The sequence below is a fragment of the Homo sapiens genome, chromosome 12 (assembly GCF_000001405.40).
Source record: "Homo sapiens chromosome 12, GRCh38.p14 Primary Assembly".
Taxonomy (NCBI): Eukaryota; Metazoa; Chordata; class Mammalia; order Primates; family Hominidae; genus Homo; species Homo sapiens.
Genome location: NC_000012.12, coordinates 101213390 through 101232976, shown reverse-complemented (window position 1 = coordinate 101232976; position 19587 = coordinate 101213390). Strand labels below are relative to the sequence as shown.

Genomic DNA, 19587 nt, shown 5'->3' with positions numbered 1-19587 from the left:
GGACTCAAGTGATCCTCCTACCTCAAGCATCCCAAAGTGCTGGGATTACAGCTATTTTATATATATATATATATATATATATATATATATATATATATATATATATATACATATATACACACATATATATATACACATACACATATATATGTATATATATACATATATATATATACACACACATAATTTACTTTTCTCATGAGCCTTGTCTGCGTGATTAGAATATAAGATCCATGAAGTCAAGACTGGTGTGACACATTTCTTTTTATCTTAGTCCCTGATATAGTTTGGATGTTATCCCACCCAAATCTCATATTGAAATGTAATCCCCAATGTTGAAGGTGGGGCCTGTTGGGAGGTGATTGGATGAATGATGGGGGCCGATCTCTCAGGAATGATTTAGTACTTTCCCCTTTGTACTGTTCTCGTGATAGTGAGTAAGTGCTCACAAGATCTGGTTGTTTAAAAGTGAGTGGCATCTCTCTCCAACTCTCTTGGTCCTGATTTCCTCATGTGATATGCCTGCTTCCATTTTGCGTTCCGCCATGATTCTAACTTTCCTGAAGCCTTCCCAGAAGCTATGCTTCCTGTATTTGCCTTCTGCCATGATTGTAAGTTTCCTGAAGCTTTCCCAGAAGCTGATGCAGAAGCTATGCTTTCTGTACAGCCTGCAGAAGCATGAGCCCATTAAACCTCTTTTCTTCTTAATTACTCAGTCTCAATTATTTATATTAGCAATGCAAGAACAGACTAATACAGTCCTTAGCCCAGATCTTACACATAATAGGTATTCAATGTACACTGTGTGTTGTTGATATTCACAAATTACTTCCTCTCTTTCTACAAAATGTTGAATAATACCTCCATCAGAAAAACCTGGGTTAAAGTAAGGGTATTTTTGTCTATCTGCAAAAAGATAAACATATTCTAATTTTTCTATAATGATTGCGGGTAGAGATAATCTCTGCCCTCAACAACACTCTTCCCTCATAGAGGGAAATGAAACTACAAATGTATTTGAATATAATAATAGTGAAGGAAATAATGTATGCTGTGGTCCGTTTCCAAGACAAAGTGCCTTGAATCGGTTTAGGTCAGCAAACCACAGAAGAAATAGGATATACTAGGCCCCTGCTTGGATAGCCAATGCCTGCTTGTCACCACTTCCCCTTAGTTGCCCTCACCCAAACCAAAGAAGTTTAGTCTGAAATGAAAGCTTACTAGCCTGCAAAATAGCTCGTTTTTTCTGTTCTTATTAGCCTACCCAGCTACTTAGGTCATAAGTCAAATACTTGAGTCCCTAAGCTAACTAGGATTGCAATGTATTGTGGGCTGCAACAAAATGCAGCAGGACAACCCTAAAGAAAACACCTAAAGCCACTACCCAACAACCGATAGGCAATGTCCAGGAAGACTGTGACCCCATAGTACTCAGCCTGTGAGGAACCGGGGGAAGGGACCTGTGCATTAGGGAATAAATTGCTTTTTGTAACTGTGCTGGGTGTGCCTGCCCACCGGACAGCCAATCTTGCAAGACCATCACGAAAAATCTCACTTTTACTGTTCTCTGGGTCTCTGAGTCCATTCTTTGGGCTTGGATGGTGAGTTTGTTTCTCACAATAGCAACAAATGCAACAACAACAGAAGCTAATTTTTATTGGGCACTTACTATATGCCAGGATCTGCTTAAAGCACTTTACATGTGTTAGCTTATTCAATCCTAAAAATAATTCTTCTAATCACATGCCTCCACATTGTCTTAAGAAACTCATCCTGTGTTCAAAAGCTGGATAATTTTCCAATTTTACAGAATCAGGTTGACATACTCTACAATCCTAGTCAGCATGATAAAGTGACACTCATACATTCATTTGAAAGACTTTAGGGAAATAGTTACTACATTGGCACAGAGATGTGGTGCCTCAACTCTGTCATGAAATTAGGACTTGTATGTGTTACAAGAAGAGGTGTGGATGAACTAAAGAAATTGTTTCTATGAGTAGAGATTTTGAAACAGAGAGTCCACTGGATCCCAAGTCACTGCTGTGTGAACTCACTCACCACACGGGAATTCTCCAAGTACCATCCTGCCTGACTCATTAATCTTATGAAGCACAGAGTGATCACACATGCCCCTGAAATGACTGTATGTAAAGTAAATTCAGGCTGTAACACACAAAGTTTTCAAGGTTGGCCTCATAGCACTGTAGATTCCCCCAGCAGATGGGCAGAGGAAGGAAACTTACTCTGTCTGAGATTCTCTCGTATTTCCAGGGCAACAAATCATGCGTAATGAAAACAAAGCAAAGTCAGTACCAGCCCAGGGCCAGCCATCACCCCACCCAAACCAGAAGGGCAGGAGCCTAATTCATGAAATGTGCTGTGCTTCTTCCTCCGGCCAGCCAGGCTCGGGGTTTCCTGATGTGTTCCTGGAACCAGAGCTAATGGAATCAGGAAAGCATGTTACTTTGCCACTGCCAGTCATTGCAAGTACAACAAAATAAATATTGCTTTAAAGAAAACAATTATCATAAAGACAATTAGTAATGAAAACAGTTATGCCTTCCTTTGTTTTTGAGACAGGGTCTCACTCTGTCACCCAGGCTGGAGTACAGTGGCACAATCTCTGCTCACTGCAACCTCCGCCTCCCCATTCAAGCAATTTTCGTGTCTCAACCTCCCGAGTAGTTGGGACTACAGGTATGCATCACCACATCTGGCTAATTTTTGTATTTTTTGGTAGAGACGGGGTTTCAACCATGTTGGTCAGGGTGGTCTCGAACTGCTGATCTCAAGGGATCAGCCCACTTCAGCCTTTCAAAGTGCTGGGATTACCAGCGTGAGCCACCGTGCCCGACCCAGTTCCGCCTTTCTAAATTGGCCTCTTAATATTTTAGAACATTTCATTCCTCTGGCCTTGAGTGAAGAATAGAAACTACAGAGGGAAGGATTTGGAGTGGCTAATGTTGGCAGAAGTGAGAATCAGAATTATGGAACTGCAAAGTCCTATGACCTTCCATTTACTGAAGAGGAAACAGAAGCACAGCAAGAGTGCTCAAGAGACTTACCTAATGCCACTCCACACAGTAAGTACTGGAATCCGGGACTTGGACTGCCAATTCCATGTGCTTTCATTTGTGACATTACTTTTTTTTTTTTTAAAAAAAAAGAACAATGTAATGTTTCAATAAAATTTAAAATTTTGGTTAAAAATCACCTATAATCATAACCTTCTGATAACTATTATCATTCTTGTATGTTTCCTTCCAACATTATTTTCATACATTTAACATAATCATAGCCATTAACCATATGTGTTTCTGTTTTTTTTGTTTGTTTGTTTGTTTGTTTTTGAGACAGAGTCTCGCTCTGTTGCCCAGGCTGGAGTGCGGTGGCGTGATTTTGGCTTACTGCAACCTCGGACTCTCAGGTTCAACGGGTTCAAGCAATTCTCCTGTCTCAGCCTCCCGAGTAGTCGGGACTACAGGTGCCTACCACCATGCCTGGCTAATTTTTGTATTTTTAGCAGAGACGAGATTTCACCATATTGCTCAGACCGGTCTCAAACTCCTGACCAAAACGAAGTGTTTTTTTAACCTACAATTTAAGTAAATGTTTAATGTTTATTTATAATTTATTTATTAAATGTTTACATTCACCAGGCACTATTCTAAATAAAACAATGTTGCTGTCCTCACATAATGAAGATTCTGGAGGGGTCAACATAGAATACGTACATAACCAAGTAATGTACAACATTCCACCATGATGAAGATAATTTGTTCCTAAATAAAGGTCCTCGTGGGTGAATTCTCATAGGCTGAAAATGTACCTAACATTCATTTTGACAGAAAAGACACTCTTTTCTCTTAAGCCCCCAAATTAACACCTATTTATGTTAAAATAACATCAATCCCATTAAAACAGGTACAATTATCTCAAAGGTAAATGGTTATCATAGGACTGATGTCTGTGCTCATAAAGCATCAAAGCAACCATATGATTCTCTGCGTTTATGTAATTAAATGTTTAATGAAAAAACAAAAACAAAAACATGAGCTCTTTTTTGTGGCACCTTGGAGGCAATTAGCTGCTTCAGGATGAAGCTAAATATCTCCTCCCCAGCCACTGGCTGACAGACACTCATTGGATTGGACAACGAATGGCAATTTTGTACTTATGAGAAGCATATGGCACAGAGGTTGCTGCCGACGCTCTGGAAGAGTTATGTGGTCCGAGTCAGTGGTGGGACCAACGAACAAGGTTTCCTCATGAAGCAGTGTGTCCTGACCCATGGCTGGGTCTGCCTACTGCTACTGAGTAGGGGCATTCCTGTTATAGACCAAGGAGAACTGGAGAAAGAAAGTGCGAATCTGTTTGGGGTTTCATTGTGCATGCCAATCTGAGCATTCTCCAGTTGGTTATCTTAAAAAAAAAAAAAAAAAGGAGGGAAGGATACTCCTGGACTGACTGATACTATGGTGTCATGTTGCTGGGGGCCCAAAAGAGCTAACAGAAATGCAAACTTTTCAGTCTCTCTAAAGAAGACAATGCCCCCCACCCATATGTTGCCAGAAAGCCCTTAAACAAAGAGAGTAAGATACTGAGGACCAAAGCACCCAAGATTCAGCATCTTGTTACTCTACATGTCCTGCAATACAAACACTGGTATTGCTCAGAAGAAACAGCATACTAAGAAAAATAAGAAAGAGCCACAAAATATGTTAAACTTTTGGCCAAGAGAATGAAGGAGACTAAAGAAAAACTCCAGGAGCAGATTACCAGAGACACAGGTTGTCCCCTCTGTAAGCTTCTACTTCTGAGTCTAGTCAAAAATAAGATTTTTTGACTTACTTAACAAATGAGTAAGATCATACCACCCCCAGCAAAATAATCAATAAAGACTAAGGACATTGATGAAAATGATGGAGAAGATGATGACTTCCATGAGTACTTTAAAGGAGAAACTTAAAGCAACTTGTATAATTTTTAAGACTGCAGAGCTGACATGTGGTAACTTATGCTGAATCTGCTCAGTAGCTTCCCACAGCCCCCAAATCTGAATCACATTCCTTCAATGTGAAGAATGCCTCATAAGCTAAAGTTGAGGAACTAAATAAACTGATTAAGTCTCTGTCTTATGACACCTCCCACCCCCTATCACAGTTCTATCCAGGGCAGCATTGACTAGCGTAATAGCAGGGTGTGATATGTGGTAGGACAGATAGGATGGGGAGGACAGGGAATGATGTTAGGTGGAGATGGGGGAATGACAAGGAGTCTGGTGTGAGGGAGCCCACTGAGGGAGGGCTAGGTGGTAGAAGCTAATGCTGGCCAGGTAGCTAGGTGCTAGATTAGAGAGCACCTTGCTAGCCACACTGAAGACCTGAGTACTTTGGAAGCCAGTGGAAACTTCTGAGCAAGGAGTGACACAATCAGACTCACATGTGAGAAGGAGACTGTGGGTGAGGGAGATAAGTTAGGTGACTATTGTGGGGTTCAACTGAAAGAGGAGGTAAAAGCATGGGTCAGGGTTACAATGGTGCAGACAGAGAGAAATAGTTATAGTTTATCTGTAGTTTGAATATAAAACCAACCGGATTCCCTTTGAATTGAATATGATACATCAGGGAAAAAGAGGAATCAATCTTAGTGCATACTCTATGTCAGGCCTTGTTCCTATGTTTTACATATATTCATAACAATAAAAATAATATCAAATGCCTTTCTAATACCTTCCCTATGCCAGATTCTATATGCTTTAATCTACTTTCACCCACATCACCCTTACAGCAATCCCATAGGGTAGGCACTATTATCATTTCCATTTTCTGATGAGAAACTGAGGCACAGACAGGAAGGGCAATGCACACGGGAAATGCTGGAGCTGATTTTAGACCCCAGACGTTCTGGCTGCAGAGTTGAGATTCACAATCACTGCAAACACTGCATTCCATGGTCACAAGGTTTTGGTCCGAGCAGTTGAGTGGGTGATGTTGCTATCGACCAAGACAGGAATACCTGAGGCAGAGCAGGTTTGGGGGAGTGGATAGCGAAGGCCTGGGTTTTTGGCCATGCTAAGTTTGGGATGCCTGTTAGACCTCTAAGTGGAAATGTTGTGTGGCCATAGGGTGTGAAGAATCTGGAGTTTAGGAAAGGAGCCAGAACTGGAGATAGCTGAGCTATATGGAATGTTCAGCTCATAAACAGAAGTTAAAGCTGCGGGACAGGATGAAAGTACTGAGGAAGACTAAGTCCTGGTCACTCCAGCATTCACAGTCCAGAAATAGGAGGAGCTCCAGCAAAAGAGATTGGGAAGGAGTGACCTGTAAGGCTGGAGGAAACCAGGAGAGTGTGCTGGAAGGTAAAAAATTTCTAGGAGGGAATGATCCACTCTGTGAAATGCTGCTGAGAAGTCCAGCAAAGGGAGGATGCTGCCAGATGTCATGATGCTCAGTTTAATTGTTGCATACAACTTCTTCAAGTGGAAGATTTCTCTTTTTATCTACTCTTGCATTTTCAACCCCTTCACATATAGCTCACAAAGTAGAGGAAGAGAGCTCATCTAACTTCAACGTGAAGTTGTTAATTTGAATTCAGTTTAAATATTTATTGGGTGTCAGGTATGGTACTAGGCCACAGAGATTCAGGGGTAAGTGAATCACAGAGTTCTTGCTTTTTTTTTTTTTTTTTTTTTTAGACAAGGTCTCGCTCTGTCACCCAGGCTGGAATACAGTGGCAATCACGGTTCACGGCAACTTCTATCTCCTGGGGCTCAAGCAATCTTCCCACCTAAGCCTCCCAAGTAGCTGGGATTATAGGTACATGCCACCACATGGGTATTTATTTTATTTTTTGTAGAGATGGGGTCTTGCCATGTGGCCCAGGCTGGTCTCTAACTCCTGGCCTCAAGTGATTTTCCCACCTTGGCCTCCCAATGTGCTGGGATTATAGGCATGAGTCACTATGCTGGGAGGGTTCTTGCTCTAGACAATGGACTAAGCAATGAGAAGGAGGAGGGGAGGGAAAATAGGAGGAGGAGAATGATGAGGAGGGGTGCTGGGGAGGAGGGGAAAGGAGAGGAGAGGGAGAAGGAAAGGAAAGGGAGAAGGGAGGAGGAAGAAGTGGAGAAAGAAGAATACCATGATAATATTAATATTAACATTTGGAGGTTGCCTAATGAACTCAGCCAGAACACCCCATAGAAAAGCCCAATGGTTGACACACCTCCGCTTAACAGGCCATAAAGTACTAGGGGGAGAATAAAGGTTTTTTCACATATGCTCATTCTCAAAATAATGATCTCCTGTGCATGCTTTCTCAGGACGCTACTGGATGATATGCACGGCCAAGACAAGGGAGTATCCAAAGAAGAAACATGAGATTCAGGCAATAAAGAATCAGTAGGATACAGGCCAGAATAATTCCCACCATATTTTAAACTGAGATCCCAAGACAACCACTGTGCACCAGGTCTAGATAACAATCAGTCCACATTGATTGCCTGATTTTCAAAACATATTAAGTGGAGGTTTACGCTCTTGGGGAAGAGTTTGGGAAGGAGATTATGGGGGAAGGTTGCAGGGGGTGTTTCATTTTTGATTTTGTTTCTGAGTATGTAGACATTCCCTTAGTTCCCCAGTGTTCAATACAGAGGCCGCCTCACAGTTACATCAGTGTTCCCTGTCCGGAGTCTCCTGTTAAGTTCTGTGAGTAAGACTTCAGTCTTCTGCTAGGCTAGGGGAGGGACAGTTGCCCAGCTGCACAGGGTAGGCAAGGGGATAGGTGAAATGTCCCTTCATACAGATTTGCAACCAACTCTGTTTTTTAAGTCTCTATCCCAACATAGGCCCTGCTTCAAGAGCTATCACAACATCCAATTCCTGCTCCTTTTGGGGCTTCTGAGATACAAATAAGCCTGCTTCTAAGACCTTCTCATGCTGCTGTCTTGAATTTCAGCTTTCTCTGCTTTTCTAAGTGAGTCTCTTCTTATTCACCTGCTTTTTGGATCCCAGAATTATATGAGTGTTTTGTTTTTTGTCTCTTACTCTCTTTATCCTTATGACTAGAGTCATTTTTGTGAAGTTTGGAAGGGAACAAAAGGTAAAATATGTGCTCAATCTGCCACACTGTTTAAAAAGTGGTTTTCTTTTTAAATTACCAAATATATGCATACAGTTTAATATATATTATAAAGTGAATGATCATTAACCAACACTCAAATCAAGAAATAAACATTGCTAGCTTCCCTAAAGCCCCCCATATGTCCCCACCTGATTACAACTAGTTCTCTCCCTTTAGATGTGACACCATCCTACCTTTTATGATTACTGCTTCCTTCTTTTCCTTTACAGTTTTACCACCTATGTATCCATTGTGAAACAACTGAGTTTAGCTTTGCCTGCTTTTGAATTTTATGTAAATAGAGACATATGGTGCATATTCTTTTGTGTTTGGTTTCTTTTACTCAGCTCTGTAAAATTCAACCACATCATCATTACATATATCCACTTTGGTTATACACGGATACCACAGTCTATCCATGTTACTGTGGATGTACTTCTGAGTTGTTTCTAGTTTGGAGTAAATCTTAATGCTATGAATATTCTTGTACACACTATTTGTGCACATATACACACGTTTCATTTGGTATGCCACAAGAAGTGGAAATTCTGTGGCACAGTGCATAAACATCTTCATCCTTCTAGATATTATCCGTTGTTTTCCACAGTGCTTGTACCAGCAGTCTATGCAAGTTCCCAGTGCTCCACGTTTGTGCCAACATTGGTATTGTCTGACTTCAGTGGTGGCTGTACAACCTAACGTGTTCAGCTGGAAATACCTTGTTAAGTTTTCCATGTACCTTCTATCGCTTCATCACTGCACTTTTGGAAAGAGCTTCTAAAACTCCTTTCTTATAGAGGGCAGACCCATAAGGCAACCTACATGTTCCATTGCTTTTTCTTAGAGAAGATTTCAGGTAGAGCTTCTGACAACCTGCTCCAATTGGGACTAGCTGCTCACTAATTCTGCCTCAATCATCCGTTTCCTGAATCTCATGTCTTTTTTTTTTCTGCATTTTTCCCGTTTTCATAGAGCACATCTTCCAGAAGCTTCATGAGAAATGATGTGTAAGGAAATACTATTTTTGAGACCTTGCATATTTGAAAATATCTTTATTCTCCACTCATAGTAAATAGTTTGGGTAGAGAATTTTAGGTTGGAAATAATTTTTCATAAAAAACTTTGAAGGCATTTTTATTTTCCTCTAGCTTTCGATGTTGCTGTTGAGAAGTCTGATGCCATTCTGATTTCTGATCTTTGTATATGACCTATTTTTTTTTCCCTCTCTATGGAAGCTTTTAGGATTGTCTCTGTGTTTCTGACATTTCACAACAGAAGTGAATTGTTAAATTCACTACACACTTGGTGAGCAATTTCAGTATGAAGAATATGTTCTTAAGATTTTTGGAAATTTTCCTGAATTTTCCTTTGATAATTGCCTTCCCTCCACTCTTTCTCTAGAATTCCTAGAGTCATGTTTTCAACCTCCAGCATTAAACCTCTAATTTTCTTTTCTTTCCACTTTTATTTTTCATCTCTGGGTATTTTTGTTCCACTTTATAGAAGCTTTCCTTAATTTTATCTCCTAACCCTTCCACTAATTCTGCTCCTATATTTTTTAGTTTCCAAGAGCTCCTTCTTATTCTTTATATGTGACATTTTAATAGGAAACTCTTCACATTTAATGAAAGCAAAATTGTCCTCCTTTTTTAGAAAATGGTAACTAGTTTTAAAATGTTTTCTTTTGCCTCTGCATTTACTGTTTTCTCAATGTTTCTTTTACAGTTTATTTTGGACTCTGTCTCCTATGTGAAAGGTTTTTTCCAAGTGGCTAGTGATCCCTAACTGACCAGTTCATGTGAAGGGGAGAGGCACCATGAGCTAATCAGAAACTTATGCGGAGGGGGGACATACAGATTAGAGGGTCTCACTTTAGGATAACCAGGTGGGAGCCCTGTCTTTTTATAGCCTCTAAATGCCAGTTTTTGTTTTGTTTTGTTTTTTGTCTATTCTTTTGGGCTGCTTGGTTTTTCTAGAAAGGAATTCTCTCCAATCCTGCCTAAAATAGTGTAAGTCTGGTATTTAGCATTCTGGGAGCCTGGTAGGGGAAAGGGTGGATGGGTCAGGGATGGTGGAGTGTTGTCTCACTCTTCATTAGGCGAACTTCTCTGATTTTTATTTTCCAGTAAAATGCCTTGCTCTAGCCCTTAGCTGTGACTAGTGCCCTTAAGCCAGAGTTTTTTGGTTTTTGTTTAGTTTAACCTCTCCAGAAAGGGTATCTTTAGTTTTCTGTCAAGAAGAAGGGAGGAGCAGTTACCTGGCTGCCCAGTCTAGGAGAGGGGAAAGGATGTGGTCTCTAAGAACTCCGTATATGAGTCCTTGGGTTTTTCATTCTACCTCATATCTCTGCCTTTAGAGGTATACAGCATATCTGATTTTGGATATTTCTTAGGGGATGTATTAGTCCGTTTTCACGCTGCTGATAAAGACATACCCTAGACTGGGTAATTCATACAGAAAAAGAGACTTAATGGGCTCACAGTTCCACGTGGCTGGGGAGGCCTCACAATCATGGTGGAAGGTGAAAGGCAGGTCTTACATGGCCCCAGGGAGAATGAGAGAGAAAGAGAGAGAGAGAGAAAGAGAGAGAGAGAATCAAGCAAAAGGGGTTTCCCCTTATAAAACCATCAGATTTCTTGAGACTTATTCACTAACATGAGAACAGTATGGGGGAACTGTCCCTATGATTCAATTATCTCTCACCAGGTCCCTCCCACAACATGTGGGAATTATCAGAGCTACAATTCAAGATGAGATTTGGGTGGGGACTCAGCCAAACCATATCAGGGAGCACTATAGCACAGATTGTTTTGTTCTTGTTGCCTTTCATCTTTTATGGTATTTAACAAATGAAGAAGGCTAAAATTGAAGTTAATTTCCACTTGTTTGTCTGCATTCATTCTTCCAAAATTGTATTGAATACAGTCGATAAATTGTATTTATCTGCAGTCACCCCTTGTCTCCTTCTCTTTGTCCCTATAAGCTAAACACCTTTTTTATTCCTTTAATGCCATTTTAGTGGAGTATATACAATCCATACATTTTCCTAGGTATTTTTCTTTCTTCATTCATACTTTCTATATCCAAAAGAGGATTTGAGCTTGTTGCAATAAAATATACATATGCAAAAAAGTTGAAATTTGGGAAAAGTAAAAAATATCAAGTAGTAAAAGAAAGGAAACACCTGTGGTGGAAATCTAGGCTAAGGATATAGGCCGTGACTGTACAAAGGTTGGCCCTTACTAAACACCTTGGCAGTTCTGCTAAAAGGAGGAACAGGAGGAATTTCTCAGCCCTCATTATCTAACAGGAAGCACTCCAGGGCATCAGATAAAACTTCTGCTAAGTTTACTGAGTGAGTTGATTCTGTAACTGAATAAAAGTTCTTGGTGCTCCAACTTGGAATTGATTCTACTGAAGAGATTAGAGTGAGACCCAGATAAGAAAAATAAATAAATAAAGATAGATGTGAGGGGTAGGGATGCTAAGTCTTGATTGATTGGCATCTTTCCCAACTCAAGCACTGTGATGACACCATCTGTTGTTACTCACTCTATATTCCCAATTTATTCAGGGTTTCTAGGTGGAAGGACATTAAGAAAGTACCCTGTAGAGGAATTCTTATAGTCTTCTCTTTCTTTTCCATTTCAACAGGATATTCTCAGAGCCCTCTAGCAACTGTGACTGTGATTTCAAGGCAAGAAGTAAACAGACAGTAGGGAATTATGTTAGGAGTATATATTCCTTTACTTTTCCTCTCAAAGAGAGAGAAAATAGGCTTTTTTTTTTTTCCTGATAAGAAAGTGTATGAGTAAGCCTAGATTCAGGGCCCAATAAGATCATGCTCAGATTTTCAAATTACAGTTTTAGAAATTTTGGGGGAAATTCTTGATGCCAAAAGGCATTGTGAAATAGTATCAATACAATTGCAGGTTTAGCATTTTCTTTATGCAATAAACAGTACAGGGCTCTGGGGCTTTACAAAGATGAGCAAGCAACAGTCCCTTTTCCCAAGGAGCTTACAGTGTCTCACAGGAGATAATAAAATGACACAAGTGATTAATAGAGGAGAGAGCTTCAGAATGTCTAGCCAGCTACACATGTCTAGCCACCTGCCTACATGGAGACCCAGTCCCCTTTTCCCACCCACAAGGTGAATCTGGGAAGCCACAAACAGGAACCCTGCCCTTCTAACTGCAGCTGATTAAATTAGAGGTCAAGAGATACGTGACCTAAGGAAAACCAATTGGATTTCCTCTCCAAAGATTTAAAATTAGAATTCAAAGGTGCTAATCAGTCTCTGCTGTCCACTGATTTAAGGGCGTAGAAGCACTGGCTTGGATATTTCTGACCAGGCACCAGTGGCAATGCAGAGAAAACACATCTGGAGAGAAAGAGGCATGCAGAGTGGCTTTCCAGTCCTGCTTTTGGCCTCATGGGATCCATGAGATACTCCCATATTAAAAGTTTTGATTCAAACAACTGTAATACAATACTACTGTGAAGACTATGAAATATATGCTAAGGGGGCTCAAAGAGGGAGAGAAAGCACATATTATTGTGGAGCAGGTGGGATTAGAAATAGTGAAATATTACATGAAAAATTTTTACGACTGAGTTCACCTTAAATGATGGGTAAGATTCTAACAGGAGGAGATAGGTTGAGAGCATTAATTAGTGAAAGAACCATATGGGGGAGAGAGAAACCAGGTGTGTATGTTCCAAGGTGCCTGGGGGTGGTTAGGTTTTATGATGAAAATTAAATAGCTCTTGGAGTAGATTCTATCTTTGCATCAGCTATGACGCAAGTCAGCATATTCTAGGTCCTTTCTCCACTTGGAAAGAATTACTGCCAATTATCAGTCCATTTCCATTGGCTTCCCTCTAACTACTTTGCTTCAAAAAAAATGAAAAGTTCATTTATTCCTATAGTTCTATAAAAGAAATCTACTCAAAAAGATGTGAAATGACTTATAATGCAATACTGTAATTTTTTATATAAACTTCATCTTTGTTTCCTTGTTACAGGATAAGTGGTAAGTAAATATTGCCTAGTAATGTGACATGAGTAACAGAAAATACAAACTTATTTTCGCCCTAGGGAAGCCTGCTTACTTTTCTTGACCCTCTTCTCAATATCTACCTATAATCTTCAGATATAGCAAAGGGCCAGCAACCACTTTTCTGGGAAAAAAAGATATTTTGCCAAACTTTGAAAACACACCAAAATATGGGACTGAAAAATAGTGCATATATATCAATTGAGTGCAGTGGTCTGATCATAGTTCACTGCAGCCTCGAACTCTTGGCCTTAAGGGATCCTCCTGCCTCAGCCTCACAAAATGCTGGGATTACTGGTGCCTTGCCCTATTGTTTAAACTAACATTTTTCATAAAATACTAAATGTGAATATCTTCCAAAACTTGAAAGAACTATGCAGTTATAAAGCATTATAAAAATAGGCATATTAGATATTTTTATATGTTTTTAAGTTCATTGATTAGCGAGAGGAATAAAACTGAACTCAGTAGAAAAGTTTTGGAGAGAAACAAAAAAGTGAGGATTTTTACCTTATAGCTAACATTATCTACCTCATTTAGAGAAGGATCTTGTTTTTATACTATAATCCTTTTAGACAACAAGCCAATGAAATTTTAAATTCAAAGGCAACTCAAATGATTCTTGACAAGGGTGACAAGACTTTTCAATGGAAAAGGGTAGTATTTTAAGCAAATAGTACTAGGAAAACTGAATATCTACATGCAGAAGAATCAAGTTGGACCCTTACCTAACACAGTATACAAAAATTAACTCAAAATGGACCAAAGACTTTTTAAGACCTAAAATGATACAATTCTTAGAAGAAAACATAGGTCAAGTCTTGAAGATATTAGAGTTGGCAATGATTTCTTGGATATGACACCAAAGGAACAGGGCACAAAAGTCAATAAATTGGATTGCATAATGATTTAAAAATTTTGTGCATCAAAAGACACTATCAACAGAGGAAAATGATAACCCACAAAATGGGAGAAAATATTCACCAACCATATACCTGATAAGCGATTAATATCCAGAATATGTAGAGAAATCTTACAATTCAACAAAAAACAATTTAAAATGGGCAAAATACTTAATAAACACTTCTCCAAAGAAGATATGCAAATGGCAATAAGCACATGAAAAGGTGCCCAACATCACTAATTATTAGTGAAATGCAAATCAAAACTACAAGATACCACCTCACACCCATAGGATGGCTACTATTTTTTTTAAAAAGAAAATAACAAGTGCTGACAAGGGTGTGGAGAAATTAGAATGCTTGTGCACTGTTGGTGGGAATGTCAAATGTTACAGCCACTGTGGAAAACAGTATGGCAGTTCTTGAAAAAAAAAATAGAATTAGTGTATGATCCAGCAATTCCACTTTTAGGTATATGCTCAAAAGAATAGAAAGTAAGGATTTATGAAACATTTGTATATTCATGTTCTAGCAGCATTATTCTCAATAGCAAAAACATGGAAGTAACCGAAGTGTCCACTGACAGATGAATGGATAAGCAAAATGTGGTATATCCATACAATGGAATATAACTCAGTCTTAAAAAGGAAGGAGATTCTGACCTATGCTACAATGTGGATGAATCTTGAGAGTATTATGCTAAGTTAAATAAACTAGTCACAAGAAGACAAATGCTGTATGATTACACTTATATGAGGTATTTTGAGTATTCAAAACCACAGAGACAAAGTAGAATGGTGGTTGTAGGGGGTTAGGGGATGGGTCAATGGAGAGTTAGTGTTTAATGGATATAGAATTTAAGTTTTACAAGATGAAGAGTTATGGAGTTGGACGTTGGTGATGGTTGCATGACATTATGAATGTGTTTAATGCTACTGAATTGTACACTTTAAAATGGTTAAGATAGTAGATTTCATCTTATGTGTATTTACCACAATGAAAAATATTGGGAAGGCCAGGTGCGGTGGCTCACGCCTATAATCCCAGCACTTTGGGAGGCCGAGGTGTGTGGATCACCTGAGGTCAGGAGTTTGAGACCAGCCTGGCCAAAATGGTGAAACCCCATCTCTACTAAAAATACGAAAATTAGCCAGGCATGGTGGCAGGCACCTGTAGTCCCAGCTATTTGGGAGCCTGAGGCAGGAGAATGGCTTGAACCCGAGAGGGGAAGGTTGTAGTGACCCAGGATCGCACCATTGCACTCCAGCCTGGGTGACAGAGAGATACTCCATCTCAAAAAAAAGAGGGGGGGGAAAGTAAGTCATATTTCAAAATATACTCAAGAAATATTTTCTTCAAAGGATCTGAGCAGCCAAGTAAGGGGCAGTCCACTGTGTCAAGATGCCATACCGTTCTGGTGCACTGTGTGTCTCTCCATTCTGGGTCTGCCTCTGCCTTCCACTTCACCGTGCTTCTGCCTCAGTGGTCCTGGTGCCAGTGGTCTTCTAAGTAGCTCCCTAGAAGAGAACAGCTGTTTGCCACAACAAGGGAAAAACTGGAGACTATCAACTTGAAGTAGAGAAGGTAACAGTAGGAACTGGTTATTGTCATAGTGTTTTTAAATCTGAGAACTTTTAACTTTGCCAACTAAGGATGATTGATGGGGAAAGAGTAAAATATCTGGGAAACTGGTCTCTGAGAAAGAAATTTGTTCGGTGGAGGTTGTGGGTGAGATGGATGCGGCAGAGACTGCTACTATCCCCTAGGTTCCATTCTCTCCTTCTTTAGAAATAGGACCTTCAGTTTTTAGTTCAGCATGTGGTCCTCTGGTACAAAGGCTACATTTCCCAGTCTCCCTTGCAACTACATGTGGTCATGTGACTAAGTTTTGTCCAATGGGATGTAAGTGGAACTGCCTTGTAAAATTGATGGTAAAAGTCCTTAAAGGGCATAGCTATGCCCCATCAGCCCTTTCCTTTTTCATACTACAGTGGAAGTCCAATGTGAGGATAGCAGAACTGTTAAGAGAGGAGTTTTAATCCCAAACAACTTTCTATGGCCTCATCCCCTGACCTACTCCAATCCTGGGCTACCTATTTCTGTACTTTAAATTGAAAGAGAATACATTTGCATCTTGTTTAAGCTATTGTTATTTTGGTTTCTGTCACTCAGCCAAACTCAATACTACTTGATAAAATTGGTAAAAAAAAATGATAAATTAGAAAACTGCTTTATGTCTAATGAAGCTTTAAAATAAAAAGTACTTCCTCATATGGGTTCTCTGTTTTTCCTCCAAAATGTCTATGAAGACACAGAAAAAGAGGAAATTTACAACATTAGAAATTAGGACCAGTGCAACTTAGTTGAGAGAATTTTCTAATAATTCCTTCTTTTGTCTATTCATTTGTTCAGCATGTTTATTAAAAAGTACCCCTCATGTGCTAGGCTGTTCTAGGCCCAGGGAATATAGTGGTGAACAAAACAGATAAAGTTCTTGTCTTCATGGACCTTCTATTCTAGTGGGAGAACAGAGACCACCATCAAGATAAAAAAAATAAATATAATGTCAGTTTGTATATGTAGATGAAGAAAAACAAAGCAAAGGAAAGGAGTAGAAAATGATAGACACAAATTGTGAATTGAGTGGTCAGAGAGGGCCTCTTGGAGGAGGGTGACATCTGAGCAGATCCCTGAATGAAATGACAGTGGGAGTTCTGGTGATATCTGGAAGAAGAGCATTCAAAGCAGCGAGAACAACACGTGCAAAGGCCCTGAGACAGAAACAGGCTTGGCAGATTCCAGAAATGGTAAGGAAGACGATGTGCTTAGAGAAGAGTAAGTGGATGAAAAGAAGTGGTAAGAAGAGATGTCAGAGCTTGTCAGGGGACAGACAGTGTAGGATAAATTGACAGGAGATAAGTTGATTAAAAATCATACTTTGTGTCCACTCTGAAAAGAAAATGTTGTGAAATGATGGGAAGACCTCTTGTCCCTCCATTACAATCTACAATGGGTTCAGAATCATAACACCTACTCTCATGAGAGAGATGGAGTATTAGTCCATTTTCATGCTGCTGATAAAGACATACTTGAGACTGGGTAATTTATAAAGAAAAAGAGGTTTAATGGACTCACAGTTCCATGTGGCTAGGGAGGCCTCTCAATCATGGTGGAAGGTAAAAGGCATGTCTTACATGGTGGCAGACAAGAGAGAATGAGAGCCAAGTGAAAGGGGTTTCCCCTTATAAAACCATCAGATCTCATGAGACTTTTTCACCACCACAAGAACTGTATGGGGGAAACCACCCCCTTGATTCAATTATCTCCTACTGGGTCCCTCCCATAACACATGGGAATTATGGGAGCTATAATTCAAAATGAGATTTGGGAGAGGACACAGCCAAACCATATCATTCTACTCCTGGCCCCTCCCAAATCTCATGTCCTCACATTTCAAAACCAGTCATGCCTTCCCGACAGTCCCTCAAAGTCTTATTTCAGCATTAACTCAAAAGTCCACTGTCTAAAGTGTCATCTGAGACAAGGCAAGTCCCTTCCACCTATGAGCCTGTAAAATCAAGAAGCAAGTCAGTTACTTCCTAGATACAATGGGGGTACTGGCATTGGATAAATATACCCATTCCAAATGGGAGAAATTGACCAAATAAAGGAGCTAAAGGCCCCATGCAAGTCCAAAATCCAGTGGGGCTGTCAAATCTTAAAACTCCCAAATGATCTTTTTTGACTCCATGTTTCACATGCAGGTCACACTGGTGCAAGAGGTGGGTTCCCATGGTCTAAGGCAGCTCCACCTCTGTGGCTTTGCAGGGTACAGCCTCTCTCTTGGCTGCTTTCACAGGCTGGCATTGTCTGTGGCTTTCTCAGGCACATGGCACAAGTTGTTGGTGGATCTACAATTCTGGGGTCTGCAGGATGGTGGCCCTTTTCTCACAGTTCCACTGCGCAGTGCCCCCGTGGGGACTCTGTGTGGTGGCGTCAACCCCACATTTCCCTTCTGCACTGCCCTAGCAGGTGTTCTCCATGAGGGCCCTGCCCCTGCAGCAAACTTCTGCCTGGACATCCAGATGTTTTCATGCATCTCTGAAATCTAGGCAGAGGTTCCCAAACCTCAATTCTTGACTTCTGTGCACAAGCAGGCACAACACCACATGGTAGCTGCCAAAGCTTGGGGCTTGCACCCTCTGAAGCCATAGCCCAAGCTGTACCTTGGCCCCTTCTAGCCATGGCTGGAGCAGCTAGAACACAAGACACCAAGTCCCTAGGCTAGACACAGCAGGGGGTCCTGGGCCTGACCCACAAACCATTTTTCCTCCTAGGCCTCTGGGCCTGTGATGGGAAAGGCTGCTGCAAAGTTCTCTGACATGGCCTGGAGACATTTTCCCCATTGTCTTGGAGATTAACATTTGGTTCCTCATTACTTATGCAAATTTCTGCAGCAGGCTTGAGTTTCTCCCCAGAAAATGGGTTTTTCCTTTCTATTGCATCATCAGGCTGTAAATTTTCCAAACTTTCATGCTCTGCTTCCTTTTTAAAACTGAATGCTTTCAACGTCACCCAAGTCACCTCTTGAATGCTTTGCTGCTTAGATATTTCTTCTACCAGATACCCTAGATCATCTTCCTCAAGTTCAAAGTTCCACAAATCTCCAGGGCAGGGGCAAAATGCCATCAGTCTCTTTGCTAAAACATAGGAAGAGTCACCTTCACTTCAGTTCCCAACAAGTTTCTCATCTCCATCTGAGACCACCTCAGCCTGGATTTCATTGTCCATATCATTATCAGCATTTTTGTCAAAGCCGTTCAACAAGTCTTTAGGAAGTTCCAAATTTCCCCACATTTTCCTGTCTTCCGAGTCCTCCAAACTGTTCCAACCTCTGTCTGTTGCCAAGTTCCAAAGTCTCTTCCACATTTTCAGGTATTTTTACAGCAGCACTACACTGTACCAGTACAAACTTACTGTATTAGTCCATTTTCACACTGCTAATAAAGACAAACTCGAGACTGGGTAATTTATAAAGAAAAAGAGGTTTAATGGACTCACAGTTCCACACGGCTGGGGAGACCTCACAATCAGAAGGAGAACGGTATGGGGGAAACCACCTCAATGATTCAATTATCTCCCACTAGGTACCTCCCACAACATGTGGGAATTATGGGAGCTACAATTCAAAATGAGATTTGGGTGGGGACAGAGCCCAACCATATCAGTTGGGCAGCCAGCCATCTGTTGTTGGGTGATTTTTACCAAAGTGCATCTTTCTCTGTACAATCAGAGGCTTCCACCTCCAGAGAATGTGTTATCTTAATCCTCTGGCTGGATGCTTATGAGGATAGAGTAAACTGGCAATGTGCAGTGAATCTTGGGAGGGGTCATCCTTACAAATAAAGCACTACAGTTTGGTAGAGATGGAAGAACTTCAGATGCAGTGGATGCTGTAACCGATGGCTTTTATGATGGTATTTCATGGTGATAGTGTGAGA

General features: G+C 40.5%; 1 pseudogene; it reads left to right on the top strand.

Moving 5' to 3' along the window:
- On the top strand, positions 4060–4877 carry RPS6P19 (ribosomal protein S6 pseudogene 19; annotated as a pseudogene).